This window comes from Homo sapiens, chromosome 3 (assembly GCF_000001405.40).
Source record: "Homo sapiens chromosome 3, GRCh38.p14 Primary Assembly".
Taxonomy (NCBI): Eukaryota; Metazoa; Chordata; class Mammalia; order Primates; family Hominidae; genus Homo; species Homo sapiens.
The window spans coordinates 90323119-90341806 of record NC_000003.12 but is presented as its reverse complement, the minus strand read 5'-3'; the positions used below and the strand labels follow the sequence as shown (position 1 = coordinate 90341806).

General features: G+C 37.8%; 2 annotated features.

Moving 5' to 3' along the window:
- Window positions 7345–7846: an enhancer, noted in NCBI's record as "OCT4-NANOG-H3K4me1 hESC enhancer chr3:90383111-90383612 (GRCh37/hg19 assembly coordinates)". NCBI's record gives its function as "activates a minimal SCP1, AML or CMV promoter by ChIP-STARR-seq in naive H9 embryonic stem cells {active_cell/tissue: H9 hESC(naive)}" and the evidence as "EXISTENCE:reporter gene assay evidence [ECO:0000049][PMID:30033119]".
- Window positions 17271–17854: an enhancer, noted in NCBI's record as "OCT4 hESC enhancer chr3:90373103-90373686 (GRCh37/hg19 assembly coordinates)". NCBI's record gives its function as "activates a minimal SCP1, AML or CMV promoter by ChIP-STARR-seq in naive H9 embryonic stem cells {active_cell/tissue: H9 hESC(naive)}" and the evidence as "EXISTENCE:reporter gene assay evidence [ECO:0000049][PMID:30033119]".

Below are 18688 nucleotides of genomic sequence, written 5' to 3'. Positions count from 1 at the left end.
AACAGATATTTGGAGGGCTTTGAGGCCTATGGTCTAAATGAAAATATCTTCACAGAAAAACTACACAGAAGCATTCTGGGAAACTTCTTCATGATATGAGCATTAATCTCAAGATTTGAACATTACTTTTGATTGAGCAGTTTGGAAACATTATTTTTGTAGAATTGGCAAAGGGACATTTGTGAGCCCTTTGAGGCCCATGGGGAAATAGGAAATAACTTCACCTAAAAACTACATAGAAACTTTCAGAGAAACTTCTTTGTGATGTATGCTTTCATCACACAGAGTAGAAACTTTCTTTTGATTGAGCAGTTTGGAAACAGTCTTTTTGTTGAATCTGCAAATGGATATTTGGAGCTCTTTGTGGCATATGGGGACAAAGGGAATATCTTCAAATAAAAAGTAGACAGAAGCATTCTGAGAAACTTCCTTGTGATGTGTGCATTCATCTCACAGAGTTGAACATTTCTTTTTATTGAGAAGTTTGGAAACAGTCTTTTTGTAGTATCTGTAAATGGATACTTGGAGAGCTTTGGGGTCCATGTTGCAAAAGGAAATATATTCACACAAAAATCAGACTGAAGCATTCTGACAAACTTGTTTGTAATGCCTTTATTCATTTCACAGAGTTGAACCTTTCTTTTCAGTGAGCAGTTTGGAAACAATCTTTTTCTACAATCTCCAAAGGGATATTTCCGAGCCATTTGAGGCCTATGGTGAAAAAGAAATATCTTCACATAACAACTAGACAGAAGCATTCTGAGCAACTTCTTTGTGATGTGTGCATTCGTCTACCAGAGATGAAATTTTCTTTTGATTGAGCAGTTTGGAAAAAGTCTTTTCATAGAATCTGCAGAGGGATATTTGTGAGCTCTTTATGGCCTATGGTGAAATAGGAAATAACATAAAAACATGACAGAACTTTTTTGAGAAACTTCTTTGTGACGTATGCCTTCATCTCACAGATTTGAACATTTGTTTTCATTGAGCAGTTTGGAAACGGTCTGTTTGCAGAATCTGCAAATTGATATTTGGAGCGTTTTGAGTTCTATAGAGAAAAAAGTAATATCTTCACATAAATACTAGACAGAACCATACTGAGAAACTTCTTTGTAATATGTGCATTTATCTCACAGAGTTGAACATTTCTTTTTATGGTGCACTTTGGAAACAGTTTTTTGTAGTATCTGTAGAGGGATATTTCTGATTGGTTTAAGACCCCTACGGTAAAAAAGGAAATATCTACACATAAAAACTAGACAGAAGCATTCTGAGAAACTTCTTTGTGATGTGTGTTTTCATTTAATGCAGCTGAACCTTTCTTTTGATTGAGTAGTTTGGAAACACTCTTTTTGCAGAATCTGCAAATCGATATTTGGAGTGCTTTGAGGTCTATGGTGAAAAAGGAAATATCTTCACATAAAAACTAGACAGAAGCATTCGAAGGAAATTCTTTGTGGTGTGTGCTTTCATCTCACAGAGTTGAACATTTCTTTTGATTGAGCAGTTTGGAAACAGTCTTTTTGTAGAATCTGCAAATGTATACTTGGAGTGCTTTGAGGTCTATGGTGAAAAAGGAAATATCTACATATAGAAACTACACAGAAGCATTCTGAGAAAATTCTTTGTAATGTGTGCATTCATTTCACAGAGTTGAACCTTTCTTTTCTTTTTTTTTTTTTTGTGCCTTTCAAATATCTTTTTTTTTTTTTTTTTATTATACTCTAAGTTTTAGGGTACATGTGCACATTGTGCAGGTTAGTTACATATGTATACATGTGCCATGCTGGTGCGCTGCACCCACTAATGTGTCATCTAGCATTAGGTATATCTCCCAATGCTATCCCTCCCCCCTCCCCCGACCCCACCACAGTCCCCAGAGTGTGATATTCCCCTTCCTGTGTCCTTGTGATCTCATTGTTCAATTCCCACCTATGAGTGAGAATATGCGGTGTTTGGTTTTTTGTTCTTGCGATAGTTTACTGAGAATGATGGTTTCCAATTTCATCCATGTCCCTACAAAGGATATGAACTCATCATTTTTTATGGCTGCATAGTATTCCATGGTGTATATATGCCACATTTTCTTAATCCAGTCTATCATTGTTGGACATTTGAGTTGGTTCCAAGTCTTTGCTATTGTGAATAGTGCCGCAATAAACATACGTATGCATGTGTCTTTATAGCAGCATGATTTATACTCATTTGGGTATATACCCAGTAATGGGATGGCTGGGTCAAATGGTATTTCTAGTTCTAGATCCCTGAGGAATCGCCACACTGATTTCCACAATGGTTGAACTAGTTTACAGTCCCACCAACAGTGTCAAAGTGTTCCTATTTCTCCGCATCCTCTCCAGCACCTGTTGTTTCCTGACTTTTTAATGATTGCCATTCTAACTGGTGTGAGATGATATCTCATAGTGGTTTTGATTTGCATTTCTCTGATGGCCAGTGATGATGAGCATTTTTTCATGTGTTTTTTGGCTGCATAAATGTCTTCTTTTGAGAAGTGTCTGTTCATGTCCTTCGCCCACTTTTTGATGGGGTTGTTTGTTTTTTTCTTGTAAATTTGTTGGAGTTCATTGTAGATTCTGGATATTAGCCCTTTGTCAGATGAGTAGGTTGCGAAAATTTTCTCCCATGTTGTAGATTGCCTGTTCACTCTGATGGTAGTTTCTTTTGCTGTGCAGAAGCTCTTTAGTTTAATTAGATCCCATTTGTCAATTTTGTCTTTTGTTGCCATTGCTTTTGGTGTTTTAGACATGAAGTCCTTGCCCACGCCTATGTCCTGAATGGTAATGCCTAGGTTTTCTTCTAGGGTTTTTATGGTTTTAGGTTTAACGTTTAAATCTTTAATCCATCTTGAATTGATTTTTGTATAAGGTGTAAGGAAGGGATCCAGTTTCAGCTTTCTACATATGGCTAGCCAGTTTTCCCAGCACCATTTATTAAATAGGGATTCCTTTCCCCATTGCTTGTTTTTCTCAGGTTTGTCAAAGATCAGATAGTTGTAGATATGTGGCATTATTTCTGAGGGCTCTGTTCTGTTCCATTGATCTATATCTCTGTTTTGGTACCAGTACCATGCTGTTTTGGTTATTGTAGCCTTGTAGTACAGTTTGAAGTCAGGTAGTGTGATGCCTCCAGCTTTGTTCTTTTGGCTTAGGATTGACTTGGCGATGCGGGCTCTTTTTTGGTTCCATATGAACTTTAAAGTAGTTTTTTCCAATTCTGTGAAGAAAGTCATTGGTAGCTTGATGGGGATGGCATTGAATCTGTAAATTACCTTGGGCAGTATGGCCATTTTCACGATATTGATTCTTCCTACCCATGAGCATGGAATGTTCTTCCATTTGTTCGTGCCCTCTTTTATTTCCTTGAGCAGTGGTTTGTAGTTCTCCTTGAAGAGGTCCTTCACATCCCTTGTAAGTTGGATTCCTAGGTATTTTATTCTCTTTGAAACAATTGTGAATGGGAGTTCACTCATGATTTGGCTCTCTGTTTGTCTGTTGTTGGTGTATAAGAATGCTTGTGATTTTTGTACATTGATTTTGTATCCTGAGACTTTGCTGAAGTTGCTTATCAGCTTAAGGAGATTTTGGGCTGAGACGATGGGGTTTTCTAGATAAACAATCATGTCGTCTGCAAACAGGGACAATTTGACTTCCTCTTTTCCTAATTGAATACCCTTTATTTCCTTCTCCTGCCTGATTGCCCTGGCCAGAACTTCCAACACTATGTTGAATAGGAGCGGTGAGAGAGGGCATCCCTGTCTTGTGCCGGTTTTCAAAGGGAATGCTTCCAGTTTTTGCCCATTCAGTATGATATTGGCTGTGGGTTTGTCATAGATAGCTCTTATTATTTTGAAATACGTCCCATCAATACCTAATTTATTGAGAGTTTTTAGCATGAAGGGTTGTTGAATTTTGTCAAAGGCTTTTTCTGCATCTATTGAGATAATCATGTGGTTTTTGTCTTTGGCTCTGTTTATATGCTGGATTACATTTATTGATTTGCATATATTGAACCAGCCTTGCATCCCAGGGATGAAGCCCACTTGATCATGGTGGATAAGCTTTTTGATGTGCTGCTGGATTCGGTTTGCCAGTATTTTATTGAGGATTTTTGCATCAATGTTCATCAAGGATATTGGTCTAAAATTCTCTTTTTTGGTTGTGTCTCTGCCCGGCTTTGGTATCAGAATGATGCTGGCCTCATAAAATGAGTTAGGGAGGTTTCCCTCTTTTTCTATTGATTGGAATAGTTTCAGAAGGAATGGTACCAGTTCCTCCTTGTACCTCTGGTAGAATTCGGCTGTGAATCCATCTGGTCCTGGACTCTTTTTGGTTGGTAAACTATTGATTATTGCCACAATTTCAGATCCTGTTATTGGTCTATTCAGAGATTCAACTTCTTCCTGGTTTAGTCTTGGGAGAGTGTATGTGTCGAGGAATGTATCCATTTCTTCTAGATTTTCTAGTTTATTTGCGTAGAGGTGTTTGTAGTATTCTGTGATGGTACTTTGTATTTCTGTGGGATCGGTGGTGATATCCCCTTTATCATTTTTTATTGCGTCTATTTGATTCTTCTTTCTTTTTTTCTTTATTAGTCTTGCTAGCGGTCTATCAATTTTGTTGATACTTTCAAAAAACCAGCTCCTGGATTCATTGATTTTTTGAAGGGTTTTTTGTGTCTCTATTTCCTTCAGTTCTGCTCTGATTTTAGTTATTTCTTGCCTTCTGCTAGCTTTTGAATGTGTTTGCTCTTGCTTTTCTAGTTCTTTTAATTGTGATGTTAGGGTGTCAATTTTGGATCTTTCCTGCTTTCTCTTGTGGGCATTTAGTGCTATAAATTTCCCTCTACACACTGCTTTGAATGCGTCCCAGAGATTCTGGTATGTGGTGTCATTGTTCCCGTTGGTTTCAAAGAACATCTTTATTTCTGCCTTCATTTCGTTATGTACCCAGTAGTCATTCAGGAGCAGGTTGTTCAGTTTCCATGTAGTTGAGTGGCTTTGAGTGAGATTCTTAATCCTGAGTTCTAGTTTGATTGCACTGTGGTCTGAGAGATAGTTTGTTATAATTTCTGTTCTTTTACATTTGCTGAGGAGAGCTTTACTTCCCACTATGTGGTCAATTTTGGAATAGGTGTGGTGTGGTGCTGAAAAAAATGTATATTCTGTTGATTTGGGGTGGAGAGTTCTGTAGATGTCTATTAGGTCTGCTTGGTGCAGAGCTGAGTTCAATTCCTGGGTATCCTTGTTGACTTTCTGTCTCGTTGATCTGTCTAATGTTGACAGTGGGGTGTTAAAGTCTCCCATTATTAATGTGTGGGAGTCTAAGTCTCTTTGTAGGTCACTGAGGACTTGCTTTATGAATCTGGGTGCTCCTGTATTGGGTGCATAAATATTTAGGATAGTTAGCTCCTCTTGTTGAATTGATCCCTTTACCATTATGTAATGGCCTTCTTTGTCTCTTTTGATCTTTGTTGGTTTAAAGTCTGTTTTATCAGAGACTAGGATTGCAACCCCTGCCTTTTTTTGTTTTCCATTGGCTTGGTAGATCTTCCTCCATCCTTTTATTTTGAGCCTATGTGTGTCTCTGCACGTGAGATGGGTTTCCTGAATACAGCACACTGATGGGTCTTGACTCTTTATCCAACTTGCTAGTCTGTGTCTTTTAATTGCAGAATTTAGTCCATTTATATTTAAAGTTAATATTGTTATGTGTGAATTTGATCCTGTCATTATGATGTTAGCTGGTGATTTTGCTCATTAGTTGATGCAGTTTCTTCCTAGTCTCGATGGTCTTTACATTTTGGCATGATTTTGCAGTGGCTGGTACCAGTTGTTCCTTTCCATGTTTAGCGCTTCCTTCAGGAGCTCTTTTAGGTCAGGCCTGGTGGTTACAAAATCTCTCAGCATTTGCTTGTCTATAAAGTATTTTATTTCTCCTTCATTTATGAAGCTTAGTTTGGCTGGATATGAAATTCTGGGTTGAAAATTCTTTTCTTTAAGAATGTTGAATATTGGCCCCCACTCTCTTCTGGCTTGTAGGGTTTCTGCCGAGAGATCCGCTGTTAGTCTGATGGGCTTTCCTTTGAGGGTAACCCGACCTTTCTCTCTGGTTGCCCTTAACATTTTTTCCTTCATTTCTACTTTGGTGAATCTGACAATTATGTGTCTTGGAGTTGCTCTTCTCGAGGAGTATCTTTGTGGCGTTCTCTGTATTTCCTGAATGTGAACATTGGCCTGCCTTGCTAGATTGGGGAAGTTCTCCTGGATAATATCCTGCAGAGTGTTTTCCAACTTGGTTCCATTCTCCACATCACTTTCAGGTTCACCAATCAGACGTAGATTTGGTCTTTTCACATAGTCCCATATTTCTTGGAGGCTTTGCTCATTTCTTTTTATTCTTTTTTCTCTAAACTTCCCTTCTCGCTTCATTTCATTCATTTCTTCTTCCATTGCTGATACCCTTTCTTCCAGTTGATCGCATCGGCTCCTGAGGCTTCTGCATTGTTCACGTAGTTCTCGAGCCTTGGTTTTCAGCTCCATCAGCTCCTTTAAGCACTTCTCTGTATTGGTTATTCTAGTTATACATTCTTCTAAATTTTTTTCAAAGTTTTCAATTTCTTTGCCTTTGGTTTGAATGTCCTCCCGTAGCTCAGAGTAATTTGATCATCTGAAGCCTTCTTCTCTCAGCTCATCAAAATCATTCTTCATCCAGCTTTGTTCTGTTGCTGGTGAGGAACTGCGTTCCTTTGGAGGAGGAGAGGTGCTCTGCGTTTTAGAGTTTCCAGGTTTTCTGTTCTGTTTTTTCCCCATCTTTGTGGTTTTATCTACTTTTGGTCTTTGATGATGGTGATGTACAGATGGGTTTTCGGTGTAGATGTCCTTTCTGGTTGTTAGTTTTCCTTCTAACAGACAGGACCCTCAGCTGCAGGTCTGTTGGAATACCGTGCCGTGTGAGGTGTCAGTGTGCCCCTGCTGAGGGGTGCCTCCCAGTTAGGCTGCTCGGGGGTCAGGGGTCAGGGACCCACTTGAGGAGGCAGTCTGCCCGTTCTCAGATCTCCAGCTGCGTGCTGGGAGAACCACTGCTCTCTTCAAAGCTGTCAGACAGGGACACTTAAGTCTGCAGAGGTTACTGCTGTCTTTTTGTTTGTCTGTGCCCTGCCCCCAGAGGTGGAGCCTACAGAGGCAGGCAGGCCTCCTTGAGCTGTGGTGGGCTCCACCCAGTTCGAGCTTCCTGGCTGCTTTGTTTACCTAAGCAAGCCTGGGCAATGGCGGGCGCCCCTCCCCCAGCCTCGTTGCCGCCTTGCAGTTTGATCTCAGACTGCTGTGCTAGCAATCAGCGAGATTCCGTGGGCGTAGGACCCTCTGAGCCAGGTGTGGGATATAGTCTCGTGGTGTGCCGTTTCTTAAGGCGGTCTGAAAAGCGCAATATTCGGGTGGGAGTGACCCGATTTTCCAGGTGCGTCTGTCACCCCTTTCTTTGACTCGGAAAGGGAACTCCCTGACCCCTTGCGCTTCCCAGGTGAGGCAATGCCTCGCCCTGCTTCGGCTCGCCCACGGTGCACACACACACTGGCCTGCGCTCACTGTCTGGCACTCCCTAGTGAGATGAACCCGGTACCTCAGATGGAAATGCAGAAGTCACCCGTCTTCTGCGTCGCTCACGCTGGGAGCTGTAGACCGGAACTGTTCCTATTCGGCCATCTTGGCTCCTAGAGCTGAACCTTTCTTTTCATGGAGAAGTTTGGAAACAGTCTTTTTGTAGTATCTGGAGATGGATATTTGTGACATGTTTAAGGCCTATGCTGAAAAAGGAAATATCTTCACATAAAAACTAGACAGAAGCATTCTGAGAAACTTTTTTGTGATGTGTGCATTCATCTCACATTGTTGAAGCTTTCTTTTCAATGAGCAGTTTGGAAACAGTCTTATCATAGAATGTGCACGGGATATTTGTGAGCCCTTTATGGCCAATGGTGAAATAGGAAATATCTTCATATAAAAACTGGACAGAATATTTCTGAAAAACTTTTTGTGATATATGCTATCATCTCACCGAGTTGAACATTTCTTTTGATTGAGCTGGCTGGAAACCTTCTTTTTGTGGAATCTGCAAATAGATATTTGGAGCGCTTTGAAGCCTATGGTGAAAAAGCAAATATCTTCACATAAAAACTAGACGGAAGCATTCTGAGAAACTTCTTTTTGATGTGTGCATTCATATCACAGAGTTGAAACTTTCTTTTGACTGAGAAGTTTGGAAACAGTCTTTTTGTACAATGTGCAAAGGATTGTTTCAGAACTGTTTGAGGCCCATGGTGAAAAAGAAATATCTTCGCATAAAAACTAGAAGGAAGATTTCTGAGAAACTTTTTGTGATATATGCTATCATCTCACAGAGTTGAACATTTCTTTTGATTCAGCTGGTCGGAAACACTCTTTTTGTGGAATCTGCAAATGGATATTTGGAGCGCTTTGAAGCCTATGGTATAAAAGGAAATATCTTCACAAAAAAACGAGATGGAAACATTCGGAGAAACTTCTTTGTGATGGTGCATTCATCTCACAGTGTTGAACCTTTCTTTTGATTGAGCAGTTTGAAAACAGTCCTTTTGTACAATGTGCAAAGGGATATTTCTGAGCCGTTTGAGGCCTATGGTGGAAAAGAAATATCTTCACATAAAAAATAGAGAGAAACATTCTTACAAACTTCTATGCAATGTTTGCATTCATCTCACAAAGTAGAAACATTTCTTTTGATGCAGCAGTTTGGAAACAGTCTTGTTGTAGTATCTGCAGAGGGATATTTCTGACCGGTTTAAGGCCTATGGTGAAAAAGGAAATATCATCACATAAAAAATAGACAGAAGCACACTGAGAAACATCTTTGGGATGTGTGCATTCAACTCACAGTTGAAGTTTTCTTTTGATTGAGCAGGTTGGAAACACTCTTTTTGTAAAATCTGCAAATGGATGTTTGGAGTGCTTTGAGGTCTACGGTGAAAAATGAAATGTCTTCACATAAAAACTTGGCAGAAGCATTCTGAGAAACTGCTTTGTGATGTGGGCTTTCATTTCATGCAGTTGAACTTTTCTTTTGATTGAGCAGTTTGGAAACACTCTTTTTGTAGTGTCTGCAAATGTATACTAGGAGCGCTTTGAGGCCTGTGTTGAAAAAGGAAATATCTTCACAAAAAAACTTGACAGAAGCATTTTGAGAAACTTCTTTGTAATGTGTGCATTCATCTCACAGAGTTGAACCTCACTTTTGATGGAACAGTTTGGAAACAGTCTTTTTGTAGTGTCTGCAGAGGGATATTTGTGACTGGTTTAAGGCTTATGGTGAAAAAGGAAATATCTTCACATAAAAACTAGACAGCAGCATTTTGAGAAACTTCTTTGTGATGCCTGCATTCATCTCACAGAATTGAACCTTTCTTTTGACTGAGCAGTTTGGAAACAGTCCTTTTGTACAATTTGCAAAGGGATATTTCCGAGCCGTTTGAGACCTATGGTGAAAAAGAAATATCTTCACATAAAAATTAGAGAGAAGCATTCAGAGAAACTTCGTTGTGATTTGTGCATTCATCTAACAGAGTTGAACCTTTCTTTTGATTGAGCAGTTTGGAAACAGTCTTTTCATAGAATCTACACAGGGATATTTATGAGCCCTTTATGGCCTATGGTTCAATAGGAAATATCTTCACATAAAAACTAGACAGAAGCATTCTGAGAAAATTCTTTTTGATGTGGGCTTTCATCTCACGGATTTGAATATTTCTTTTGATTTAGCAGATTGGAAACAGTCTTTTTTGTAGAATCTGCAAATGTATATTCGGATCGCTTTGAGGCCCGTGTTGAAAAAAGAAATATCTTCAACTAAAAACTCGACAGAAGCATTCTCAAGAACTACGTTGCCATGTGTTCATTCATCTGACTGAGTTGAGCCATTCTTTGTATTGAGCAGTTTGGAAACAGTGTTTTTGTAGAATCTGCAAATTTATATTTGGAGTGCTTTGAAGCCTATGGTGAAAATGGAAGTATCTTCACATAAAAACTAGGCACAAGCATTCCGTGAAACTTCTTTGTTATGTGTGCATTCATCCCACCAAGTTGAAACTTTCTTTTGATTGAGCAAGTTTGATACGCTCTTTTTGTTGAATCTGCAAATCGATATTTAGAGCACTTTGAGGCCTATGGTGAAAAAGGAGATATCTTCACATAAAAAAAAAGACAGAAGCATTCTGAGATATCTCTTTGGGATGTGTGCATTCATCTCCCAGAGTTGAAACTGTCTTTTGATTGAGCAGTTTGGAAACAGTCTTTTTCTACAATCTGTAAATGGATATTTTGTAGCCGTTTGAGGCCTATGAGGAAAAAGAAATATGTACACATAAAAACTAGAAAGAAGGATTCAGAGAAACTTCTTTGTGATGTTTGCATTCATCTGACAGTGCAGAACGTTTCTTTTGATTGACCAGTTTGGAAACAGTCTTTTCGTAGAATCTCCACAGGGATATTTGTGAGCCCATTTTGACCTATGGAGAAATAGGAAATATCTTCTCATAAAAACTGCACAGAACATTCCTGAGAAACTACTTTGTGAGATATGCTTTCATCTGACAGAGTTGAACGTTTCTTTTGATTGAGCATTTTGGAAACGGTCTTTTTGTAGACTTTGCAAATAGTTATTTGGAGTGCCTTGAGGACTATGATGAAAAAGGAAATATCTTCATATATAAACTAGACGGAAGCAATCTGAGAAACTTCTTTATGATGCCTACATTCCTCTCACAGAGTTGAGATTTTCTTTTGGTTGAGCAGTTTGGAAACAGTCTTTTTGTAAAATCAGCAAAGGGATATTTCTGAGTCGCTTGAGGCCTATGGTGAAAAAGAAGTATCTTGACATAAAAACTAGAATGAAGCAATCTGAGAAACTTCATTGTGATGTGTATTTCATCTTACAGAGTTGAACCTTTCTTTTCATTGAGAAGTTTAGAAACAGTCTTTTCATAGAATCTGCAAAGAGATATTTGTGAGTTGTTTATGCCCTATTGTGAAATAGGAAGTATCTTCACATAAAAACTAGATAGAAGCATTCTGAGAAACTTCTTTATGATGTGTGCATTCATCTCACAGAGTTTAACATTTCTTTTGAGGGAGCAGTTTGGAAACTGTCTTTTTATAGAATCTACAAATAGATATTTGGAGTGCTTTGATGCCTATGGTGAAAAAGGAAATATATTCACATAAAAACATGACAGAAGCATTGTGAGCAACTCCATTGTGTTTCCTGCATTCATCTCACAGAGCTGAATGTTTCTTTTGATTGAGCAATTTTGAAACACTCTTTCTGTAGAAACTGCAAGTGGATATTTTGAGCGCTTTGAGGTCTATGGTGGAAAAGGAAATAGCTTCAAATAAAAACCAGACAGAAGCATTCTGAGGAACTTCTTTGTGATGTGTGCATTCATCTCATGGAGCTGAAACTTTCTTCTCACTCACTGAGCAGTTTTGAAACACTCTTTTTGTAGAATCTGCAAGTGGATACCTGGATCACTTTTCGGCCTCTACTGGAAAAGGAATATCTTCACATAAAACTACATAGAAGCATTCTGAGAAACTTCTTTGTGATGTGTGCATTCACCTCAAAGATTTGAACCTTTATTTTGATTGAGCAGTTTGGAAACAGTCCTTTTGTAGTGTCAGCAAATGGATATTTGGAGCAGTTTGAGGAGTATGGTGGAAAAGGAAATATCTTCACATAAAAACTAGACAAAAGCAGTCTGAGAAACTTCTTTATGATGGGTGCATTGGACTCACAGAGTTGTTCCTTTCTAATGATGGACAAGTTTTGAAACACTCTTTTTGTAGAATCTGCAAGTGGATATTTGGAACTTTTGCAGCCTATAGAGGAAAAGGAAATATCTTCACATAAAAACTAGACAGAAGCATTCTGAGAAATTTCTTTGTGATGTGTGCATGCATCTCACAGATTTGATCCTTTCTTTTCATTGGACAGTTTTGAAACACTCTTATTTTAGGATCTGCAAGTGGATATTTGGAGCGCTTTGCCATCTCTAGTGGAAAAGGAAATATCTTCACATAAAAACCAGACAGAAGCATTCTGAGCAACTTATTTGTGATGTGCACATTCATCTCAAAGAGTTGAACTTTTCTTTTGATTGAGCGGTTTTAAAACACACTTTTTGTAGAATCTGCAAGGGGATATTTGGAGCAATTTGAGGCTTCTACTGGAAAAGGAAATATCTTCACATACAAACTAGGCAGATATTCTGAGAAACTTCTTTGTGACGTGTGCATTCATCTCACATACTTGAAACTTTCTTTAATTGAGCAGCTTTAAACCACTGTTTTTGTAAAATTTGCAAGTCGATATTTGGAGCGCTTTGAGGCCTGTGGTGGAAAAGGAAACATCTTCAAATAAAAACTACACAGAAGCATTCTGAGAAACTTCTTTGTGATGTGTGCATTAAACCGACGGAGTTGAACCTTTCTTTTGATTAAGTGGTTTGGAAACTGCCTTTTTGTTGTATCTGCAAATGTATATTTTGAGCGGTTTGAGGCTTATGACACAAGAGGAAATATCTACCCATAAAAACTAGAAAAAAGCATGCTAAGAAACGTCTTTGTGATGTGTGCATTCAACACACAGAGTTGAACTTTTCTTTTGGCTGAGCAGTTTTTAAACACTCTTTTTGTACTATGTACAAGTGGATATTTGGGGCACTTTGAGGCCTAAGGTGGAAAAGGAAATATCTTCACATAAAAACTAGACAGAAGCATTCTGAGAAAGTTCTTTGTGATGTGTGCATTCAGCTCACAGAGTTGAACCTTTTCTTTAATTGAGCAGTTTTTAAATAATCTTTTTGTAGAATCTGGAACTCCATATTTGGAGCCCTTTTTGGCCTATGATGGAAAAGGAAATACCTTCACACAAAAAGTAGACAGAAGCATTCTGAGAAACTTCTTTGTGATGTGTGCATTCATCTCAAAGAGATGAAAATTTCTTTTGATTGAGCAGTTTGGAAACACTCTTTTTGCAGAATCTACGGATGGATAAATGGAGCACTTTGTGGCCTATAGTGGAAAAGGAAATATCTTCACATAAAAACTGGACAGAAGCATTCTGAGAAACATCTTTGTGATGTTTGCAGTCATCTCACAAAGTTGAATCTTTCTTTTGATTGAGCAGTTTTGAAACAGTCTTTCTGTAGAATCTGCAAGTGGATATTTGGAGCGCTTTGGGGCCTATAGTGGAAAAGGAAATATCTTCACTAAAAAACTAGACAGAAGCATTCTGAGAAACTTCTTTGTGATATGTACATTCATATCACAGAGTTGAACTTTTCTTTTGATTAAGCAGTCTTGAAACACTCTTTTTGTAGAATCTGCAAGTGGATATCTGAAACGCTTTGAGGCCTATAGTGGAAAAGGAAATATCTTCACATAAAAACTAGAAAGCAGCATTTTGAGAAACTTCTTTGTGATGTGTGCTTTCCTCTCAAAGAGTTTAACATTTCCTTTGATTGGGAAATTTGGAAACACCCATTTTGTAGAATCTGCAAGTGGATATTTGGAGTGCTTTGCAACCTGTGGTGGAAAAGGAAATAACTTCAAATAAAAACTAGACAGAAACATTCTGAGAAACTGGTTTGTGAGGTGTGCATTCAGCTCACAGAGTTGAACCTTTATTTTGATTGAGCAGTTTGGAAACAGTCCATTTGTAGTATCTGCAGATGGATATTTGGAGTGCTTTGAGGCCTATAGTGGAAAAAGAAATATCTTTACATAAATCTAGACAGAAGCATTATGATAAACTTCTTTGTGATGGATCCATTCATGTCAGAGAGTTGAATCTTTCTTTTTATTGAGTAGTTTTGAAACAATCTTTTTGTAGAATCTGCAAGTGGATACATGGAGTGCTTTGAGGCCTATGGTGGAAAAGTAAATACTTTCACACAAAAACTAGAAAGAAGCATTTTGAGAAACTCCTTTGTGATGTGTGCATTCATCTCACTGTGGTGAATATTTCTTTTGATTGAGCAGTTTGGAAACACTCGTTTTGTAGAATCTGCAAAGGGCTACTTGTGAGTGCATTGAGGGCTCTGGGGAAACAGGAAATATCTTCACATGAAAACTAGACAGAAACTTTTTGTGAAATTACTTTGTGATGTGTGGTTTTATCTCACAGAGTTGAAACTTCCTTTGATTGAGCAGTTTGGACACCATGGTTTTTTAGAATCTGCAAAGGGATATTTGGAGCACTTTGAGGCCTAAGGTAAAAATGCAAATATCTTCCCATAAAAACTAGGCAGACGCATTCTGAGAAACTTTTTTGTGATGTGTGCATTCAACTCACAGAGCTGAAGATTTCTTATGTTTGAGCAGTGTGGAAAGAGACTTTTTGTAGTATTGGCAAACGAATATTTGGAGTGCATTGAGGCCTATGGTAGAAAAGGAAATATCTTCACAAAAAAAAACAGACAGAAGCATTATGAGAAACTGCTTTGTGATGTGTTCTTTCATCTCACAGAGTTGAAACTTTCTGTTGATAGAGCCGTTTTGAAACACTCTTTTTGTAGAATCTGCTAGTGGATATTTGCAGCACTTTGAGGCCTATGGTTGAAAAGGAAATATCTTCAATTAAAAACCAGACAGAAGCATTCTGAGAAACGTCTTTGTGATGTGTGCATTCATCTCACAGAGTTGAACATTTCTTTGATTCAGCAGTGTGCAAACACTCTTTTTGTAGAATTTGCAAGTGGATATTTGAAGCGTTTTGAGGACTGCAGTGGAAAAAGAATTATCTTCACATAAAAACTAGACAGTAGCAATCTGAGAAACTTTTTTGGATGTGTGTGTTCATCTAACAGAGTTGAACCTTTCCTTTGATTGAGCAGTTTGGAAAAAGTCTTTTTGTATTATCTGCAAATGGATATCTGGAGCGCTTTGAGGCCTACGGTGAAAAAAAAACTATCGTCATATAAAAACTAGACAGAAGTATTCTAAGAAACATCTTTGTGATATGTGCATTCAGGTCACAGAGTTGAACCTTTCTTTTGATTGAACAGTTTGGAAACAGTCCATTTGTAGTATCTACAAATGGATATTTGGGGCGCTTTGAGGCCTATAGTGGAAAAAGAAATATCTTCACATAAATCTAGACAGAAGCATTATGAGAAACTTCTTTGTGATGGATCCATTCATCTCAGAGAGTTGAATCTTTCTTTTTATTGAGTAGTTTTGAAACAATCTTTTTGTAGAATCTGCAAGTGGATACTTGGAGCACTCTGATGCCTATTGTGGAAAAGGAAATATCCTCACATAAAAACTACACAGAAGCATTCTGAGAAACTTCTTTGTGATGTGTGCATTCATCTAACAGAGTTGAACTTTCTTTTGATTGAGTAGTTTGGAAACAATCTTCTTGTAGTATCTGCAAATGGAAATTTGGAGCGCTTTGAGGTCTTTCATGGAATAAGAAATATATTCACATAAAAACTACACAGAAGCATTCTGAGAAACTACTTTGTGAAGTGTGCATTCATCTCACAGTGTTCACCCTTTGTTTTAATTGAGGAGATTTGAAACACTCTTTTTGTTGAATCTGAAAAGAGATATTTGTGATCCCATTGAGGCCTATGGGGAAATAGGAAATATATTCACATAAAGACTAGACAGAAACTTTGTGAGAAACTTCTTTGTGATGTGTGCTTTCATCACACAGAGTTGAACCTTTCTTTTGATTGAGCAGTGTGGAAGCAGTCTTTTTGTACAATCTGCAAAGGGATATTTGGGGTGCTTTGAAGTCTGTGTTGAAAAAGAAACAACTTCACATAAAAAACAGACAGAAACATTCTGAGAAACTTTTTTGTGATGTGTGCATTTATCTCTGAGATTTGAACCTCCCTTTTGAGTGATCAGTTTGGAAACAGTCGTTCTGTAGTATCTGCAAATGGATATTTTGGAGCTCTTTGTGGTCCATAGTGGAAAAGGAAATATCTTCACATAAAAACTAGACAGAAGCATTCTGAGAAACTTCGTTGTGATGTGTGCATTCATCTCACTGAGTTGAACCTTTCTTTTGATTGAGCAGTTTTGAAAAACTATTTTGTGGAATCTGCAAGTGGATATTTGGAGCACTTTGAGGCCTATGGTGGAAAACGAAATATCTTCTCATAAAAGCAAGACAGAAGAATTATGAGAAAGTACTCTGAGATGTGTTCATACATCTCACAGAGTTGAACATTACTTTTGATTGCACAGTATGGAAACAGTTGTTTTGTAGAATCTGCAAAGTGATATTTGTGTACCTATTGAGGCCTATGGGGTAATGGGAAATATACTCACATAAAAACTAGACAGAAGCTTTCTGAGAAACTTATTTGTGATGTGTTTATTCATCTCACAGAGTTGAAACTTTCTTTTGATTGAGCAGTTTGCAAACAGTCTTTTTGTAATATCTACAAATGGATATTTGGAGTGCTTTGAGGCCTATCATGAAAAAGGAAATATCTTCACAAAGAAAAATAATCAGAAGCATTCTGAGAAACTTCTTTGTGATGTGTGCATTCATCTCACAGCATTGAATCTTTCTTTTGATTGAGCAGTTTACAAACACTCTTTTTGTAGAATCTGCAAGTGGATATTTGGAGCGCTATTAGGCCTATGGTGCAAAAGGAAGTATCTTCACATAGAAAGAAGCATTATGTTAAACTGCTTCGTGATGTGTGCTTTCATCTCACAGAGTTGAACCTTTCCTTTTAGCAGTTTTGAATCACTCTTTTTCAGAATCTGCAAGTGGATATTTGGAGTGCTTTGAGGCATGTGGTGGAAAAGGATATATCTTCACTTAAAACTAGACAGAAGCATTCTGAGAAACTTCTTTGTGTTGTGTGCATTCATCTAACTGATTTGAGCCTTTCCTTTGACTGAGCAGTTTTGAAAGAGTCCTTTTGTAGAATCTGCAAAGGGATATTAGTGAGCCCTTTAAGGCCTATGGTGAAATAGGAAATATCTTCACACAAAAACTAGACAGAAGCATTCTAAGAAACTTCTTCATGATGTATGCTTTCATCTCACAGAGTTGAACCTCACTTTTGATTGAGCAGTTTGGAAACAGTCTTTTTGTAGAATCTGCAAATCGATATTTGGAGTACTTTCAGGCCTATATTGAAAAGGAAAATATATTCACATAAAAACTAGACAGAAGCATGCTGAGAAACTTCTTTGTGACCTGTGCATTCAACTCACAGGGTTGAAGGTCTCTTTTGATTCAGCAGTTAGGAAAGAGTCTTTTTGTAGGATCTGCAAGTAGATATTTAGAGCACTTTGAGGCCTGTGGTGGGAAATGAAATATCTTCACATAAAAACTAGACAGAAGCATTCTGATAAACTTCTTTGGAGGTTTGCATTTAACTCACAGAGTTGAGCCTCTTTTTTGATTGAGCAGTTTTGAGTCACTCTTTTTGTAGAATCTGCAAGTGGATATTTGGAGTGCTTTGAGGCCTATGGTGGAAAAGGAAATATCTTCACATAAAAACTAGACAGAAGCATTCTGAGAAACTACTTTGTGATGTGTGGATTCATCCAAAAAAGTTGAACCTTTCTTTTGATTGAGGAGTTTTGAAACACTCTTTTTGTAGAATCTGCAAGTGGATATTTGGAGTGCTTTGATGCCTATGGTGGAAAAGGAAATATCTTCACAAAGAAAAATAATCAGAAGCATTCTGAGAAACTACTTTGTGATGCGTGGATTCATCCAAAAAAGTTGAACCTTTCTTTTGATTGCAGAGTTTTGAAACACACTTTTTGTAGTATCTGCCAAGGAATATTTGTGAGCCCCATGAGGCCTAAGAGGAAATAGGAAATATCTTCACATAAAAACTAGACAGAAAATTTCTGATAAACTTCGTTGTGATGTGTGCTTTCGTTTCACAGAGTTGAAACTTTCTTTAGATTGAGCAGTGTGGAAACAGTCTTTTTCAAGAATCTGCAAGTGGATATTTGGAGTACTTTGTGGATTATAATGGAAAAGGAAATATCTTCACTTAAAAACTAGACAGAAGCATTCTGAGAAACTTCTTCATGATGTGTGTATTCAACTCACAGAATTGAACCATTCTTTTGATTGAGAGGTTTTGAAACACAGTTTTTGTAGAATCTGCAAGTGGATGTTTGGAGCACTTCACGTCCTCTAGTGGAAAGGAAACATCTTCACATAAAAACTAGACAGAAGCATTCTGAGGAAATTCTTTCTAATGTGTGCATTCACCTCACAGATTTGAACTTTCCTTTGATTGAGTAGTTTTGAAACACTCTTTTTGTAGAATCTGTAAGTGGATATCTGGAGCGCTTTGAGACCTATGGTGGAAAATGAAATATCTTCACATAGAAACCAGACACAAGCTTTGTGAGAAACTTCTTTGTGATGTGTGCATTCATCTCACAGAGTTGAAACTTTCTTTTGATTGAGCAGTTTTGAAACGCTCTTTTTGGAATATCTGCAACTGGATATTTGGAGAGCTTTGCAGCATCTAGTGCAAAAGTAAATATCTTCACATAAAAACTAGACAGAAGCATTCTGAGAAACTTCTTTGTGATGTGTGCATTCACCTCACAGAATTGAACATTTCCTTTGATTGAGCA